This window comes from Homo sapiens, chromosome 2 (assembly GCF_000001405.40).
Source record: "Homo sapiens chromosome 2, GRCh38.p14 Primary Assembly".
NCBI classification, from domain to species: Eukaryota; Metazoa; Chordata; class Mammalia; order Primates; family Hominidae; genus Homo; species Homo sapiens.
This window is the reverse complement of record NC_000002.12, coordinates 132,760,694-132,778,830: the sequence shown is the minus strand read 5'-3', so window position 1 is coordinate 132,778,830 and position 18,137 is coordinate 132,760,694. Positions and strand designations below refer to the sequence as shown.

At 39.2% G+C, this 18,137-nt stretch overlaps 1 protein-coding gene across 20 annotated transcripts in view; it reads left to right on the top strand.

The window, feature by feature from the left end:
- Window positions 1-18,137, top strand: part of NCKAP5 (NCK associated protein 5) — a 1,003,049-nt gene that overhangs the window by 896,006 nt on the left and 88,906 nt on the right. For all 20 annotated transcript variants that reach the window (XM_017003975.3, XM_011511100.4, XM_047444134.1 and 17 more), the window contains one exon: window positions 4,937-5,015. In XM_017003975.3, the coding sequence (XP_016859464.1) occupies window positions 4,937-5,015 (79 nt within the window). The remainder of the gene's footprint in view (window positions 1-4,936; window positions 5,016-18,137) is intronic.

Here is an 18,137-nt window from a genome sequence, read left to right as displayed (position 1 = left end):
TCAGCCTATATAGGAAGGAGATTAGATGCAAAATGAGATGTATTTTAACACCACAGCACATTGATGTGAATACCCATGAACCTTTTAAAATTCAGAGTTGAAGAGAATTTCCCCCCACTAGGGCTCAAGGTAAATTCACTGTCTGCTTATTTTAAACTGTGTTGCAAAGAATTGTTTTCATAGAAGTTATTTTGGATGAAAACAATGTATATATGCAATGCACTACGTATCACACTCTTTTTCTAAATAAAACCACTGTTTGAAACCTTATGACGTACTATACCACCATCTTTTGTTCTTTACAAACTAAGATTATATATAGTTATGAGAGTCCTAAGGCATTTTTAGTATTCTAATATATAATAATAATAGATTATTTCCATACATATAACAAATCCACATGTGTAGCAAACCTCCGCTTAGTTCACTAGTAACTGCATATTCATTTTTAGTATTGCTAGAAACATTCTAAAATATGTTTCAAAGTCCTATTAATGTTTGTCTGAATTAAATTTTTTCTTATTTCAGAGCCTTAATTAGAAGCTTATATCCCCATTTCTGCCATTGTTTATAGACCACTTAGCTCTAATTTTTGTGTAATTTAGACAAGGGCCATGTTACTTGGTACTTTTATTTAAATTATATAAAATCATTATAAAATAGGGAAAAGGCATCTCCTAGAAAGACTGCTTTGGTATTAAGTCAGTAAGTCAGAAAGAGGTACACTATACTTGCTACATGTTTCAAGTTCTTCTTTCCTGTAGATTTAGATAATTTTCTGAAATGAAAAGTCTCAAAGAAAGACAGCTCTAGGCTCCTATTTAACTATCACTGGACAAAAATAAAAATCATTAACAAAATTAATGAGATCATATACCTTCATCGTGAACCATTTTAATATGACCATTTTAGTATGGGTATTTTAATTTAAATTATGGGTATTCTCTTTACCCAGTGTCACATAGTCTAAAAAAAAAATCATGTCTGCTAATAAAAAAGCATCAAATACTATCCCATTAAAATGGTACCACGGTGATAAAATGGCAGAAAATAGTACAATAATTACACAAATTGTTATCATCTTATTAAGTTCTGCGAAATGTTACAATTTTAACATCCTTAATTGAAAAATTCTATTCTAAATGGTATTTTGGTGCTAATAAGAAACATGCATATTTTGCCCTCCGCCTGCAAAGTTTTCTAAATTAGTAACTTTTCCAAAGGTTATGCTTTCCAGGAACTTTCTCTCCCAGGATTATTTCCTGTCTCACTTATGTTCTTTTCCTTTTCAAATGAGCTTTGACATCAAAATGTTGGTTTCTTGGGAAGCCGTTAGTGTTAGGATGATTCAGGGAAGAAATATATATAGAACTCCAAATGAAGGATGTTCTCAAATTTGGGTTTAATTATGAAATTATATCAATGGTGAATTGATATAAAATTGGGTTTAATTATGAAATTATATCAATTATGTCAATGGTGAATTATTTTCTCCCCTTTTCCCCCTGTGTCTCTTGTAGGCACATTTCTTCCTGCCCTTCCTAGAAACAGGGGTGAATAAAATAGAAGTGCAGTGATATTTAATTGTTGCCTGTTGCAGACTGGTGTTTGGAGTAGTTCCTAACTAGAACTGCAGAGCCCCAAAAGATGGACAAGAGTTAGAGATAAATCATTAGAAGACACCCAAAGCACTGACAAGTAACTTAAACCAAAAATGGCCCATGGTTGTTGCTTGTGAGTCACCTTCTACTTTTTACCAAATAGGACATAACTGACATGGACTTGTTTCTGTTCCTGGGATGGCAACAGTGACTGGGACATTTCTACATTTCTACATCTTTTCTGAACCAAACGTTTGGCAGACTTCTTGGTTTTGTGTTCACTCTCCCATTCTTTGCAGTGCTTTCCCACATGGAGACTGTCCCACTTGTGCCTATTTTTGGCAAATGCTTGACCTGGCAGCCCTCTTACTCCCGGGAAAACTCCCACAACTTCCCACCAACATCCAGCTCCTATGGGATCAAGAATGAAAATTAATTTAAATTTCATCCTATGAAAAATATAATTAGCAAGGGGAATCTGCTGCCAAAATAAATTATGCCCCTCATTTCCATAGGCAAATGGATTTTTTTTAATTACTCACCACTTTGCATTGAAATCTATTTGTATGGATAATTAGAATTGACAAGTATGGCACTCTAAAGCACTCTCCCACTTTCCATTTTCTTGCTGCTTCTTCATCCATTCCCATCAAGTTCACAATTTCCCCCAGTGAGTCATCTGCCCCTCATGGGTCATCCAGCCCAGGAGAGCTGAAAGAGCCAGGGGGCTTGTTCACCATCTCAGTTCTTCTCATAAGTCCCCAGAGGCCACATTTAGTGTTTGCGGTTAAGCACATAAGGCCCTGGAATGCCTCTGGCAAGGAGCTGACAGGTAGGACTGTGCAGTCGCTTTTGTTTTCTTTCTTAAATATGATAATTAGAGAAAGGAGGTGGAGAAGGGGCACGGAACAGGTAAGGAACAGTAGGGAAGGGAAGCAGAGAATTATACACACACACATGCATGAAAAATGTTTACTACTCTTAAAATATAGTTTATGGATACTTGGAATATTGCCTTCATATCTAAATGGTAGACACTAAGAAAGAGTAGTTCTTTGGAAGGTCTGGAAAGGATAGCTGTAACAGGACAGGGCACTCTGAAAAATTGAATTATAGCAATGAATAGGAATCAGGAGTGCCTGTTCTATAACTGAAATTCTGTATGACTTTGAATAAATTATTAACCCTCTCTGAAGCTCCTTTTTCTTTATCTGTAAGATGAAAACTTTGTTCTAATTATTTGATTCTTTCATCTAGAATTTCACAGGCCAGCAGAGATGATGATTTACTGACAGTCCAACAGGTTTCGAGGGCACCCCTGCGAGTTTAAAATGTATAAATTTGGAAAAACCCAAAGGAAATACTATTTTACATTAACAGGTGCAAGAAATATGGGACATATTGCCATAAGAGCTGATATGAAACTGAAAATATGATTTCCTTGTTGTTCTATAAAAGAGGATAAAAGGCTCCCAGTGGATTATTAATGGAAACTGAGGTGTTTGGGGGCCTTTGGGTCACCTTGTTACAAACAGATCCCTGAGCAAAGAGAACCTTGGAAGGCAAATAAGTAGTACTTTGGTCTTTCTCATACTCACAGTGTGTTTCCTCCCTGCCATCTGTAAATATGTGCTGCTAGAACACGGTCAGTTAATGAAACCCTTTTTTCCTGCTTTCTTTCATTCTCTGACTTTCTTTCTGTGGAGCTGCTAACAAACAGGGAAATGCCCACAGATTAGACAGCTGAAGGGGAAAGAAAGTGATGAAGCATGGCCTCTTGATACTGAACGCTTAACGATCTGTCCTTGCCAGTGTTGAGTTAGCCATTTACATACTCTCTTGAGTTTGCCATCTCTGGCTATCAGCATGGTACAGATTAAGCACCAATTACATTCTAATATTGAAACTGCAGTCATAAAATGTAAATAATTGGTCTTATTCCATTAAGTATGAAAAATAGGAGGCAAAAAGTAGAAAGCTAAATCCAGCTCAAGGTCAGTATTCAGCCATATGACTTTCACATTGACAGTATAAAATAATAATTTCTTGGCATTCAACTCAAGCCCTGTAGCAAATCCACTGGCAACCTCTAACGTACGTGCCTAAGCGGGACACCCATTGCATTGCACGTTATTATCATTGGCTGCCTAGGTGGCTGTCTGGAATGTATTTTAAAAGAGCTATGTAGCGCCATTACCTCTAGAACCCTAAGTTGTCTTGATACTGAGTCCAAGTCTACACAGGCATATTCAAGTGGAAAATTTGAGAATACCAAAGGTCCCCCCAGTAAACACAAATCCGGAGTCAGATTTGTTGCGTTTAAATCCCAGTGCCACCATTTTGACAATTACCTTCTCTATTGCTTTGGGATGGGTCTTCATCTCTAAAATAAAGCTAACCATAGCACCTGCTTCATAGCACTGTTGTAAGGATTTTGAGATCTTACGTGCAAACAGCACCTGCCCAGTATGTAAGTGTTCACTGTTTCTATTGTGGTTGGTATTGCTGATGATGCTATTACTTCTCCTGCTACTGGATTGGGAAGTAGGGGGCCTGGGCTTTCATGCCAGTGTTGCCACTTACTGCATTTGTGCCAACTTTAAGGAGACTTCCTAGACCTCAGAATTCTCATCTGTAAAATACTGGAACTTCATTAAATTCTGTGTAGAGTTCCATCTGATGCTGCCCAATCTAGTGCCTGGGCCTTCCAACTGAAATATAAGAGGGAATGTTTTTGGCTCAAAAAAAAATATCTAGATAAATGACTCACTGCTCTGGTTCACTGATCATACATACATCATTGTCATCTCCTTTGATTATGGAAAGAATGAAAAAAAATTATCTTCTTAAGTTACATTCCAGGAAAGAGCCAGCAGACCTAAGTATATTTAAAGTATATATTTTTATTCCTATTAAAATAACTTGCAGTGGAAGTCACTGACTCTGGAGGAATTATACCTCGTTAGACTTTAACGTTTCCTAACAGCCCTGTGTTACTGATTTCATTAATTATTAACAAGCTAAGCTGTTATCTCTAAAATTTTGTGTAGAATTAGATACCCTGTAAATTCTCTCCTTCAGAAATGAGGTTATATGTCTGAAAATAAGCTCTTATAATTAAAACTTGTAATAAAGCCAAATGATGGAGTGCGGAAAAGTAGAACGAAAAAAATGTATTTTATATGTATACATACATACTCACACATGTATATACATGCAAACACTCACACCTATGCCCACATATTTGTTATAGAATGTACCATTACTCTGAGGATTGCAAAAGGATCTTTTTAATAAAACAAATAAGAACTTGCATCATTTTCTTCTTCCTGCAGGTAAAAGAGGCAAATGAAAACTTGCAAGAGGATGAAGACGATGCAGTTGCAGATTCTGTATTTCAGAGCCACATCATAGGTAAAAATTCACATATTCATATGTCTTTTATGGAGACTTATTCTAAATGTATCCTTCTTCCAGATATGGTACATTCCTAGAGACCATGTCCCTCTATCAAGACTGAGTGTTAACTATTCACACATGGTTGCCATTATCTCCTTAGACATTGGACGTTACCATAAAATAAGTGGGTCAAAGCAGCACCTATGAGGAAAACAGGTATTTCCAAAAGAATGCAAAGCAAACTGATGAGAAGTATTTGTCAATATGAAATGAAAGTGATACTGAGTAATCCAGTTTCTATAATTATCTCAAGAACACCTAGTGGTTAGAAGTGTAGGTGGTGGCTTTCTTAAATGAAATATTTTATAAATTGAATGTTTTACACGTAGTAGCAAATATAGAATAAGAAAATACGGTTTGCCAAAACTCTCAACTCTCTTTTTACATCATTTCTGTTAAAACTCAGAATATAGATAGTCCTGTCTCTGAAATAAGTTCAGCTTGTCAGCCACGTCTTAAAATTGTACATAACCTTGAAGGAACTCAAGTTCCCAGCACGCAGGAACTTTGCTGACCTCTTTACAGCAGCTTGGAGGTAACCAGTGATGGAGAACTTGCCTGTGACTGCATTCCTTGTCAAGAGATAGAAGAAGTGGCACCTTTAGCTCCTCCAGGCCACCCTGGACACTTGAAGAAGTGGTTGTTCCTCAGGCTCTAAATATAGCCATGAATGTGAGTGTGCTGACTATTTAGCTCGACACAAGACACTGAGGCATCATGGAATCACTTCCGCAAGTCACATTTGGGTGTAGGAGACAGTACTGAATACCATGCTCCAGTATATGACGGCCCCACAGATCCCCAGTGTCCAGTATAATCAGTATCCATTTCTCCTCTCCTTTCACTGGGAGCATCTTTAGCTGCCTACTCTCAGTCTCCCACTATTCGGCGCCATGTTGGCACACTTTGTGGCTGATTTTCTAGCATACTCAGCGGTCTTGTGCAAATGATAATTTATAGTTTGTCTGAGAGAGTTGTTTTACCCCCGTGGCTTAATGAGACTGGCATGCCATTATTATTCTTTTCATTCGTAATTGGGAACACAAAAGTCTTAACAAACAGCTGAAAGAGTGTAGTCTGAATAAGATTATTATTCCAAAAGGACATCCTTTATTATAGTTGTCAATGTAAAATGCTTAAATTGGTATCAGTTCTGCCTAGTTAGCTAATATTCGAGTTAAATATTGTTTAACAGCCTTCAAACATGACATTGTGCAAAGCCCTGCTGAGTCATCATTTTTCTATAACGAGGTGTTCTTGGGCCTGTGAAATAATATATATAAAGTTACAAGCTGAATTTTTCCTAAGAGAACTACAGGAATCTCTTCAAATATTTTTTAGTAGGTAGCAATTCTTTGTATCTGTGCTGCTTGATGCCATAACCACCAGCCACATGTTGGCTGTTTCAATTTAAATTAATGAAGCAAGATAAAATTAAAAATTTACTTCCTCAATAACAGTAGCCACATTTTGAATTTTCAGTGGCCCTGTCTTCTGTACAGTCATGGGTTGCTTGGTGACAGGAATATGTCCTGAGAAATGTGTCATTCGGCAATTTCAAGGTTGTGCAAGTATCAAAGAGTGTACTTACACAAACCTAGATGGTATAGCCTACTACATACCTAGGCTATATGATATAGCCTGTTGGTCCTAGGCTACGAGCCTGTACAGCATGTTACTGTACTGAATATTGCAGGCAATTAAAACACAATGGTAAGTATTTGTCTATCTACCCAGAGCTAAACATAGAAAAGGTAAGGTTAAAAAAAATACGAGTATCGGCCTGGTGCAGTGGCTCACACCTGTAATCCCAGCACTTTGGGAGGCCAAGGCAGGTGGATCACGAGGTCAGGAGATTGAGACCATTCTGGCTAACACGGTGAAACCCTGTCTCTACTAAAAATACAAAAAAAAAAAAAAAAAAAAAAAAATTAGCCGGGCGTGGTTGTGGGTGCCTGTAGTCCCAGCTACTCAGGAGGCTGAGGCAGGAGAACGGTGTGAACCCGGGAGGCAGAGATTGCAGTGAGCCGAGATCATGCCAATGCACTCTAGCCTGGGTGACAGAGCGAGACTCTGTCTCAAAAAAAAAAAACAATTAGCATCAAAGATAAACAACAATATACCTGTATAGGGCACTTATAGAACTGGAGGTTGCTCTGGGTGGGTTAGTTAGTGAGTGGTGAGTGAATGGAGGGCCCAGGACATCACCTTACACTACTGTAGAATTCATAAACACTGTACACTTAGGCTACACTAAATTTATTGGAAAAAATTTCTTCAATAATAAATTAACTTCAGCTTACTGTCACTTTTTTACTTTATAAACTTTTCAATTAATTTTTAACGTTTTGACTTTGTGATAATACTTAGCTTAAAACAAACACATTGTAGAGCTGCACAAAAATATAATTTTTATATCCTTATTCTGTAAGATTTTTCTATTAAAAATTTTTTTTCCCATTTTAAATTTTTTGTTAAAAACGAAGACACAAACACACATATTAGCTAGGCCTCCGCAGGGTCAGAATCATCAATATCACTGTCTTCCACTTCCACATCTTCTCCCACTGGAAGATCTTCAGAAGCAATAACACACCTAGGACTGTCATTTCCTGTGATAACAGTGTCTTCTTCTGGATACCTCCTGAAGAATTTCCCTGAGGCTGTTAACTTTTTTTATTAAATGGAAGGGGTACAGTCTAAAATAACAGTAAAAAGTATAGTATAGTAGTACATACATAAACTAGTAATAGTCACTTATTATCATTATCAAATATTCTGTACTATACATCATTATATGTGCTAGATTTTTCTCTGACTGGAAGCACATAGCTTTTTATACACCAGCATCACCACAACACATGAGTAGTGGGTTACACTATGACATTACAATGGTTTAACTACGACGTCACTAGGCAATAGGAATTTTTCAGCTTCATTATAATCTTAAGGGATCACCATTGTGTATGCAGTTCGTCATTGGCCAACACTTCATTTTGTTGTACATGACTGTATGTTCTATATCGTAAATAGATCACATATATTCCTTCATCACACAAACATATGTGTTCTTTATGAATGTTTCCCTCATCAGTGTTCTGTTGGATGGTGCTGCATTAGATTACTCCAATGGAAGTACATTTGAACCATGTTTTTGATAGATAATTGACTTGGTGTTCAGATCATTGCAGATGTATCTCTTCAAAGTGGTGGAGAACCATATGAATAAGCTACTGCTGGCCACAAGTAAATGACAACAAAAAAGCCTGACAATCCATTACATAAATAATAAAGTTATTATGTTATAATATTATATATAGTATATATACCATATATTATATATATACTATATTATTATATATGTTATAATATATACAATTTATAATATATAATATATACAATATATAATATATGTTGTATTCATATTAATTATTAATAAAATCATCTTATAGAATTAAAAGACTGGAGGAAGGCAAACATGAAAGAGATGTGTAGCAGATCAACAATGTCATCAAAAGCCCTTTATATACAGGTACCTTTTTCGGCCACATATTTGTATTGTAACAAGAACTCAGGCAAAGTTTTATCCATAGTTAAGAAGAACTCTTGGGATCTATAAGTTTGGGGCACTCAATACTGGTTTGAGCAAATTTGGGTTGGAGAAGAAAGGACAGGATCAAGCCTACTTCAGTAAACTGCACAAGAATCATTGCCAGGGGCAAAAAGGTTGTTTTGTGGTAGAACCCTACTTTTGAAAAGTAGCCTGCATTAAGGCTAAGAATTGAGACAAAGCTATGTTAAGCCAAATAGAGGAGCCAATATTGGCTCATTGTATCTATTTACTTGGCCGTGATTACCATGCTAGCTTTTTGTCCTCATGCTTGTGGCCTCTGGTTGCAAATTGACTCCCAGCACTCTAGTCATTTACCTTTAAGACAAAAGTATAAGGAAGGCTAAAAACATCACTAGAGTTCCCCCATAGACTACATCTTATGCAACATTGATGAGAAATGAATCATACAGCCAATCCTAGCTGCAAAGGATGCTGGGAAAGTTAGCATGTTGCTTTCCAGCCTCCATTGCATGAAGTAGCTGGGAAAAGAGGACTGAGCATGTCTCCCAGGCTAGCCAGTCAATAGGTTCTCCACAGACCTTCTAAAAAGTCCCTCCATTTTAAGACTGAATGAGACTCAACAAAGTCAAATGGTTGTTTATCTTAATTCCACAAGAATGGCTGAGAATATATATATTTTCACCCTGATAATACCACTGTTCTTCATGTTGTCTAACCTAAGTGTTGTCACATATTCTTGCAATATTTTATAACCATAATATGTTTCCAATAACAGCAACTGTGCAAATCTAAATGTATTGTTCTTTTAACCAATATTAACTAATGTCTTTGACAGAGAACAATCAAGAAAGTTGTGAATCTGAATGTTTGCATTTCTGTGGTTAAGGGTAATCATGTTAGTTTAATCAAAATGTTATGAGTTGATTACAAGAGAAGACATTGTTAACTTGGCCCGGCGTAGTGGCTGATCTCTGTAATCCCAGCACTTTGGGAGGCTGAGGCAGCAGAATTGCTTGAACCCAGGAGTTCAAGACCAGCCTGAGCAACATAGTGAGATCCCATCTCCACTAAAAATTTTTAAAAAATTAGTCAGGCATGGTGGCATGTGTCTATAGTCCCAGCTACTCGGGATGCTGAAGCAGTAGAATTGCTTGAGCTTAGGAGGTCCAGGGTGCAGTAAGCCATGATCACACCACTGCACTCCAGCCCAGGCGACAGAGCAAGACCCTGCCTCATAAAAAAAAAAAAAAAAAAAAAGGGCCAGGTGTGGTGGCTCACACCTGTAATCCCAGCACTTTGGGAGGTTGAGGCAGGCAGATCACGAGGTCAGGAGATCCAGACCATCCTGGCTAACACAGTGAAACCCCGTCTCTACTAAAAATACAAAAAATTAGCCGGGCGTGGTGGCGGGCGCCTGTAGTCCCAGCTACTCGGGAGGCTGAGGCAGGAGAATGGCGTGAACCTGGGAGGCGGAGCTTGTGGTGAGCCGAGATCGCGCCACTGCACTCCAGCCTGGGTGACAGAGCGAGACTCCGTCTCAAAAAAAAAAAAAAAAAAAAGATATTATTAACTAAACCTGCTCTATATTGAAATTGAAGATTCATGCTTAAGTAAAATAAAGCAACTGCATTTTTTTCTTTAAAATTGCCCCCATAAATGTCAGACTAAACAAAGCAAATGGCTAGCCTAGCTTAATAGAAGTATTAACACCAACGATCACAAATGCTGTATTTCTAATTATTCTTTCCTGCTATCTAACTATAATGCATTTACCCTATGTATTGTACTAATTGTCTACTAGAGTTAACAATTAGTAGGAATTCAAATACCATTCATTGTCTTGTACTGGAAACATCAGCCAGTGATAATAAAAATTAATTCCCTACAAGGAAACAGGGGATTTGTAAAATCTTATAAAGAGGAGAAAATGTCCTTCGAGGAATTTGGGGAAGAATATTATTGAAGCAGAACCCAATAGGATTCACACAAAAAATTGAATCCTATTAGGATTGTGTGGTAGGTGTTCATGAAGTGAAAGATACATGTTATTTACCACCAACTTAAAAGAGTTGAAAACAACGATCTTCCCAGTAGTCTAAAGGGCATAGGCCACAGTGCCCCCTGGTTCAATGAGAGCTAATTACCCTCCCCCATTGTCTGGGTGTACTCCTAGTCTCTTCTGCAGGAGCCAGAAGTGTTCCTACTGCCAGACTGTAGCATGACAGAGGACATGGTCTAACCCTGATGCTCTAACTTTCCTTGGATAGCTCTGAGAAGTTGTCTGTGAGGTGCTCTTCTCCCTACTTGAGAAACTGATACTGCCTCCAAAGCATCCTGCCACCCCAATCTATTGTCCTTCCTCCATTCTTCCCCGGAGGGGGCTCTCCTGTCTGCAGCTAATGTATCATGCAGAGGGACAATAGGTGCTCAGTAAATACCTTTGAGTAACTTAACACCATAAACCAGTATATTTCCATTTTTCCAGGGTGTTTCATTTCTTTATTCCTTATCCTCTCCTAGACTTTAGCTAGCTAATGTGGTAAACCAACTCACATCTGTGTAGTTACGGATTATACAGGTACCTTTTTCGGCCACATATTTGTATTGTAACAAGAACTCAGGCAAAGTTTTATTCATAGTTAAGAAAAACTCAGGCCAGGCGCGGTGGCTCACGCCTGTAATCCCAGCACTAGGAGGCCAAGGCGGGTGGATAACCTAAGGTCAGGAGTTCGAGACCAGCCTGACCAACAGGGAGAAACCCCATCTCTACTAAAAATACAAAATTAGCCAGGCGTGGTGGTGCATGCCTGTAATTCCAGGTACTCTGGAAGCTGAGGCAGGAGAGTCGCTTGAATCTGGGAGGCGGAGGTTGCGGTGAGCCGAGATTGCACCATTGCACTCCAGCCTGGGCAACAAGAGCAAAGCTCTGTCTCAAAAAAGAAAAAAAAAGAAAAAAAGAAGAATAAGAACTCTTGGGATCTATAAGTTTGGGACACTTGGTACTGGTTTGAGCAAATTTGGGTTGCGGAAGAAAAGACAGGATCAAGCCTACTTCAGTGAACTGCACAAGAATCATTGCCGGGGAAAAAAGAGTTGTTTTGTGGTAGAACCCTACTTTTGAAAAGTAGCCTGCATTAAGGCTAGGAATTGAGACAAAGCTATGTTAAGCCAAACAGAGGAGGTTTGGAGCATCATGTATAATGGCCATTCTGGTAACACAGACGTTGTTCTTATAAGCGTTTATCATCCAACCATAAAGTATCTAATCCACAGTGGTAATGTGCCCATCTGCAGTTAGGTAGAGACAGAAAGAATAAAATAGTCATATGATGTACAGTTGTTATTATCAAGGAATCTCTACACCACAGTCAAATGAAAGTCAGCAAATAGAGCAGCTTCTTCACCCAGCAGAGGAGAGAATGCCTGGCCCAATGCCAGAATGTTGATGGCTGTGGTTGTTTCTTTGGTCAGGAAAGAGGGGAAGATCTCAAAGGCTCTTGAATCAAGTGCTTCACTTCTATAGAGAACAAGACCCAAGATCTAGGTGCTTATCAAAATGAAAGGAACTCTGGGACCTGCTTCATTGTATCAAAGCCCTAATAGAACATGTCTAGTGGTAGTTATCCATATGTGGATCCAACCATCTGAATTCTCCAAACCACATTGATTTTTAAATCCACGACTGGATTTTTCTAACCATTACTACCAGTAGAATAAGGTTCAGATGGGACTAGAAGAAACTGTAAAGTGCCATGGTTTAAATAAGAATAGAAATTTCTTGCTGTCACACATGAAAGCCCAGAGGGAGGTGGTCCAAGCTAATAGAGCAGTGCCAGACTCTCCTATCTTGTCCTTCTGCCTCATATGGTTTACATTCCTTATGATTTTCTCTTTTTTTTTTTTTTTTTTTTTTTTTTTGAGACAGAATCTCACTGTTTCGCCAGGCTGGAGGGTAGTGGTGCGATCTCAGCTCACTGCAACCTCCAACACCCTGGTTCAAGCAATTCTCCTGCCTCAGCCTCCCGAGTAGCTGGGATTGCAGACACGCACCACCATGCCCAGCTAATTTTTATATTTTTAGTAGAGACGGGGTTTCACCATGTTGGCTAGGATGGTTTTGATCTCCTTACCTCGTGATCCACCCACTTTGGCCTCCCAAAGTGCCGGGATTACAGGCGTAAGCCACCGTGCCCAGCCTACATTCCTCATGATTTTCATTCCCGAAGTTACCTCATGGTCTAGGATGATTGTTGAAAAACCACCCCTTATGTCCACTTTCCAAAAAGTGGGAGGATGATGAAGGACATGGCTTATCGTTTTAAGAACACTTCCTAGCAGTTGCCCCATCCTTTCTGCTAACATCCCATTGGCCAGTGCTTGGTCACATAGGATAGGAAACATTATTTGAGGAAGGTAGCCATATGTCCAGCAAAAAATAGAGGTTCTCTTAACTCTGAAAGAAGGAGTTAATGGGTATTAGGGACATCTAGCATCTCAGCCTGCAGCCAGCCCCCTACCAAGGTTATCTCCTTCTAACTTCAGTTGATCTGTGCTAAGAGAACACATGCAAATTCTTACTATCATTTAAGAAATGCATAGGAAAGGCCGGGCACGGTGGCTCATGCCTGTGCTGAGGCGGGCAGGTCACAAGGTCAAGAGATGGAGACCATCCTGGCCAACATGATGAAACCCCATCTCTACCAAAAATACAAAAATTAGCTGCGCGTGGTGCCACGCGCCTGTAGTCACAGCTACTTGGCAGGCTGAGACAGGAGAATCACTTCAACCCCGGAGGCAGAGATTGCAGTAAGCCGAGATCATGCCACTCACTGCATTCCAGCCTAGGGACAGAGCGAAACTCCGTCTCAAAAAAAAAAAAAAAAAAAAAGAAAGAAAGAAATCCATAGGAAAACAAATTTGAAGAGTTGTTAGAAAAGATGTAATTGATTTCAGTGATTTATGCATAGTTCCTATTTTGCATAATTTGAACGATCACTGCTCTATGTGCAGTTAACCTTGAGTAACTTTTTGAGAAAATATGTTGAACTTGGATTAATTTGCCACTACCATATGTATGAATAAATACGTAATTGGTCACCAACAAGCTACGTAGATGTTCAAATAAATATTTTGTGGAATACAATGCATCTAGAATTATCTTTTCCCTAAAATTAAATAGGACATTAGGTCTTCTAGTACTGTAGCTGCCAATCAATTAAAGTCCCGATAATTATCTGTCTCATTTCAAGAATATTACCAATTTCCTCACCAAGAAGATTTGAAGAAAATTTAGAAATTTAATGTAGAAGAAATGGCATTCATATTTAAAATAAAAGTGTATCTTAGAAAGTTGACCAGATTGTCACAGCTTTTTGAGCGGAAGGCTGCTTAAGTCGAATGTCACATTTTGAATAGTGTGCTAACACATTTAGGCTTAATTGTAGGCAGGAAGAGCTATTGATAATCAAAACAAAATGTGGGTGGGAAGTGCAAATGTTCTCAATAACTTTGATAGATACTGTTTTATTGGCTACTATCAGACTGGCACCAAACTACTTAGATAATCATGCCTATGGTTGGATGGGGAATAGGATGGTGTGATTTTGTATGGTTCAGATCCTGTAGTAATACTTGCCAGGATAATTTTACTTCTGCATTTTCAGACATACAAAATAACATTTAAGAGGTACTGTAGATTAGTAGCTTGGGCAAGGAAATGTCCACTGTGGCTGCACTGAGTTCACCCACTTATAACTAACTATAAGTGATAAACTCAAAAGGGAGAGATTGCAACCAGCAAAGGCAACCTGAAATGTAAACTCTGTTTGTCATGAAGTTAGGCCCATGAAAACAGGACCATGTGATATCTTCTGACCAAGGACTGAAAATAATAATATTCATATTTATTCATTGACTGCCTACTACAACCCAAGCCCTGTGCTTATAAAATTACATATCACCCTCCATGTTTTTCATTCCCTCCTGGCTGGTTCTCTGGTTTTACTGTCAGCTTGCTCCTTGTGAGTGCTTTCTTCTCACCAGCAGGGACAATCACCAAATAAAGCTTTGGTGGATGTTTCTGTATTTATGAGCATACTGAATCCTAGTCTATGACTCCTTTCCTCTGTTTTTTCACTAGAGAGAGAATTATGGACTTACAGTGTTAAAAGTATGGCTTTTTCACTCCTGTAAAATATTTTTTTCACTCCTGTAAAATGTTTACTCCTATCGATTGCACCAGGGAGCTAAATTCTATTTAGTTCAACAAGCCTATATCGAGCATTGTCTGCAAACTATGCCCTGTATCAGCTTCGGGGCATACAAAGAGGAATAAGACATAGTATCTGCCCTCTGTGAACTCCAGTCTAGCAAGGATGCAGAGAAGCAAATAGACAATTCAAATGCATTGTGATCACTGATAAGAGAAACGTGTGTTCTATATACATCTGATGGCACAGAGCAGAGTGCAGAGCCCCGCTTTAGTGGAACTGGGAGCATTGGCTTTTGTCTGTCGGAAAAAGGCAAGTGCAAGTAAGTAATACAGTGAAGTTTAAGAGCATTTGCCATTTAGTCCAATGTTTCCCAAACTTTGCAGTACATCAGAATCACCTGGGAAGCCTCTAAAAATACTGATACCAAAATCACACCCCATATTAATTAAATGACAGTGTCTGGGGATGGAAGCCCAGCATTTGTAGTTCTTGAAGATCCGCAGGTGATTCTGATGTGCAGCAGAGTGTCCTAAGGGATAGAATCTCATCAGAAAAGGAAAGATGTCCTTGAAGTCAAGAGAAACCACATGAGCAAAGGTCTAGAGATTGGAAGGCGCATGGCACACTGGAGGGTAGGGGAGTCTGCAAAGACCAGTTTAGCTAGAGCACAGGAGAAGATGCAGATACAGTTGGATTTGTAGGATGGGACCAGATGGTAGAGACCTTGAAAGCCGAGCTTAGATATTTGAACTTAGCCCTACAGACAATATATAGACTATGGAGATTTTCAAAACAAGACCTATGTGTTAAGACGTCACTTTTGATCACTATGATGCTCATATTTAGACTTTTACAGTAAAATACTTCTTCATTTTCTCTCACTTATCTTTAAGCCAACCAAACGCACCAGTCACCTTCCTCCTCATGAAACACTCTTCCCTGATCAATGGTGTGCTGTGATAAATAGAATCATGTATTCATATGAAAGGATAGACAACCAAGAATATTTAAGGATTGCCAAAGGACTCCCTACCAAAAAAAGCTCTCATACCAGCCTACCAGAATATGTCTGAATTTCCCACCCACTGGCAATTCCTTTGAGTGAAAGTCCCCAGTGGTTTGTTATGATACAGGTGATCTCCGGAAAGGCACACAGTGAGCATCACTGGCTGATAGCAGCCGTGTGTTTCTCAGATTAGTACCCCCAGACCCTAAAAGAATGAGCCATGGGGCTGGTATCTTTTCTTGCCATGGAACTGAGAAGTGGTAGAAGGAAGGATTTGATGTTTAAGAAAGAGAAGAGTAATGTGCTACAGATCGGGAAGCTGAGCTGCCAGAGCCAGAGGCAGACCTGCAGCCCTACGAGGTGGCGTGAATTAACCCAGGTACCTGAAGGGGAAAGGCCCCACTGAACAGGCAACAGTGAGACATATTAAGTAAGTTTTGCCCTTTCCCCACCCATTTCCAAGGCCTATTGCTCTAAAGTACAAAGTTGGGGAAACTGAACTAGCTATACAGAGACCCGATTTTGTGCAGTTCCTTCAACTTCCCAAAAGGCAGTTAAGTCACTTAAAGTAAGTATAAGCCTGTGTTTGTAACTTATGGCATAGTAAGGAGTAGGTGAGGGTCAAAACAAAGTCAGATAGCAGTATGCCTCAGCGCAAAAACCTGAAAGCTGTCCAATGTGACAGAAAATTATGAATAAAGTAAGACAATCATGCATATTACATTACTATCTACTCCTTATTAAGAGCTCTCTATATGCTGGGCACTGGCCTGGGTGTTTTATGTAAGTTGCCTTGTTTTGTCCTCACATCAGCCCTGCAAGTTAAGTGTGATGGTCGCTATTTGAAGATGAGGAAATGGATGTTCTCAAAGCTACTGCCTTGCTCAGCAGCGTGACGAGGATGGAGTGGAATCATCATCCAAACCAAGACTATACTCTGTAGCTGTGAAATAAAGTTAAATAACCCCCCAAGAATTCTAAATGATGACCAGATGTTTCTTGGATCACCTCTCAGGCACCAGAGTCCAAGGGTCCCTTTTGTAGATGCTTGGCCAGGAGTTACAAACTCAAAAAAAGCTCCCAGGTCAATGAGTGGTGCAGGCTGGGCTTGACATGTACATGCATATATTACATGAGTGATGATGGGGATTTGAGGTATATAGGGAACATGACCTGTTCTAGGGAAGCAGCTCCAGTTGTCAGCATAGAAGAATGCTAGCCCTATGTAGCAAGTCTTCCCATTTTTCACCAGAAGCCAAAATCCTAGATTTCTTATGTGACATATGATATATGTTTAAATGTGGGCTCAGTTCAAAAGAATGAATCTTCAGGGACTTTCTTTTATCTGGCAATATGCCAAATTAGAATTTCAAAATCCTCTCACAGAATGCCACATCTACTAAAGTATAGGATATAATATAAAATTATACGTATTTTCTTAAAGGTATGGCTGAGCTGCAGGCAAAGAATTCATCACAGGCTAGGAACAGCAAGAAAGCCAGAATCCATAGGAGCAAGAGAATGCCCTAGCCAGCATTTGCCCATGGGGCATGCGCTAGTCTCTAGTGGCCTGGAGCTAGGGTGACCAGTGGTCCCAGTGTGCTGGGACTTTCTTGGTTTCAACACCGGAAGTCTCATATCCTGGGAAACTCTTCAGACTTTGTAAACCATGTTCTTTAACGTTCCTCAAATCCCCACCATTCACCCTACCCAGAACCTGGTTTTAAGGAGCTAAATTGTTGACATAATGAAAGCCAAGGGCCTGACTAGGGTGAAATGTTAGATCAAAGACTCACAAGCCCCTCCCCGGCATAAAGCTGGACTCCAAAGGGCAGTAACTTCAAAGCTGACCTGTAGAGGAAGATTTTGGGAATAAATTCCTGACTCAGCCTTAACGCTGTCTTAACAATAGCTGGGGAAAAAAGAGGGGGAAAAAAGAGGAGGAAAATGTTTCCTCTGAAGATTGTGAATCATTAGTTTGCACTCATGTGGCTCAGGGACCTAATTCACTCTTTTTGTGTCCCATAAATCCCCCAGCTTCAAATTACAAAAGGGTCCCAGTTGTGTTTCTAATACTCCAGAGAAGAAACTGAAAGAGGGAACTGATGTAATAAGAATGGCAGAAGGTTAGTATTTTCTAAGATTTGGGCAATAGGTATATGAGGATATATTACACTGTTTGAGTACATTTGACATTTTCCATAATGAAAAGTTAAAAAACAATGCAGACTCAGGTTAACAGTACTCCTTGGAATCTGGCAGAACCCATCTCAAATCCTCTCTCA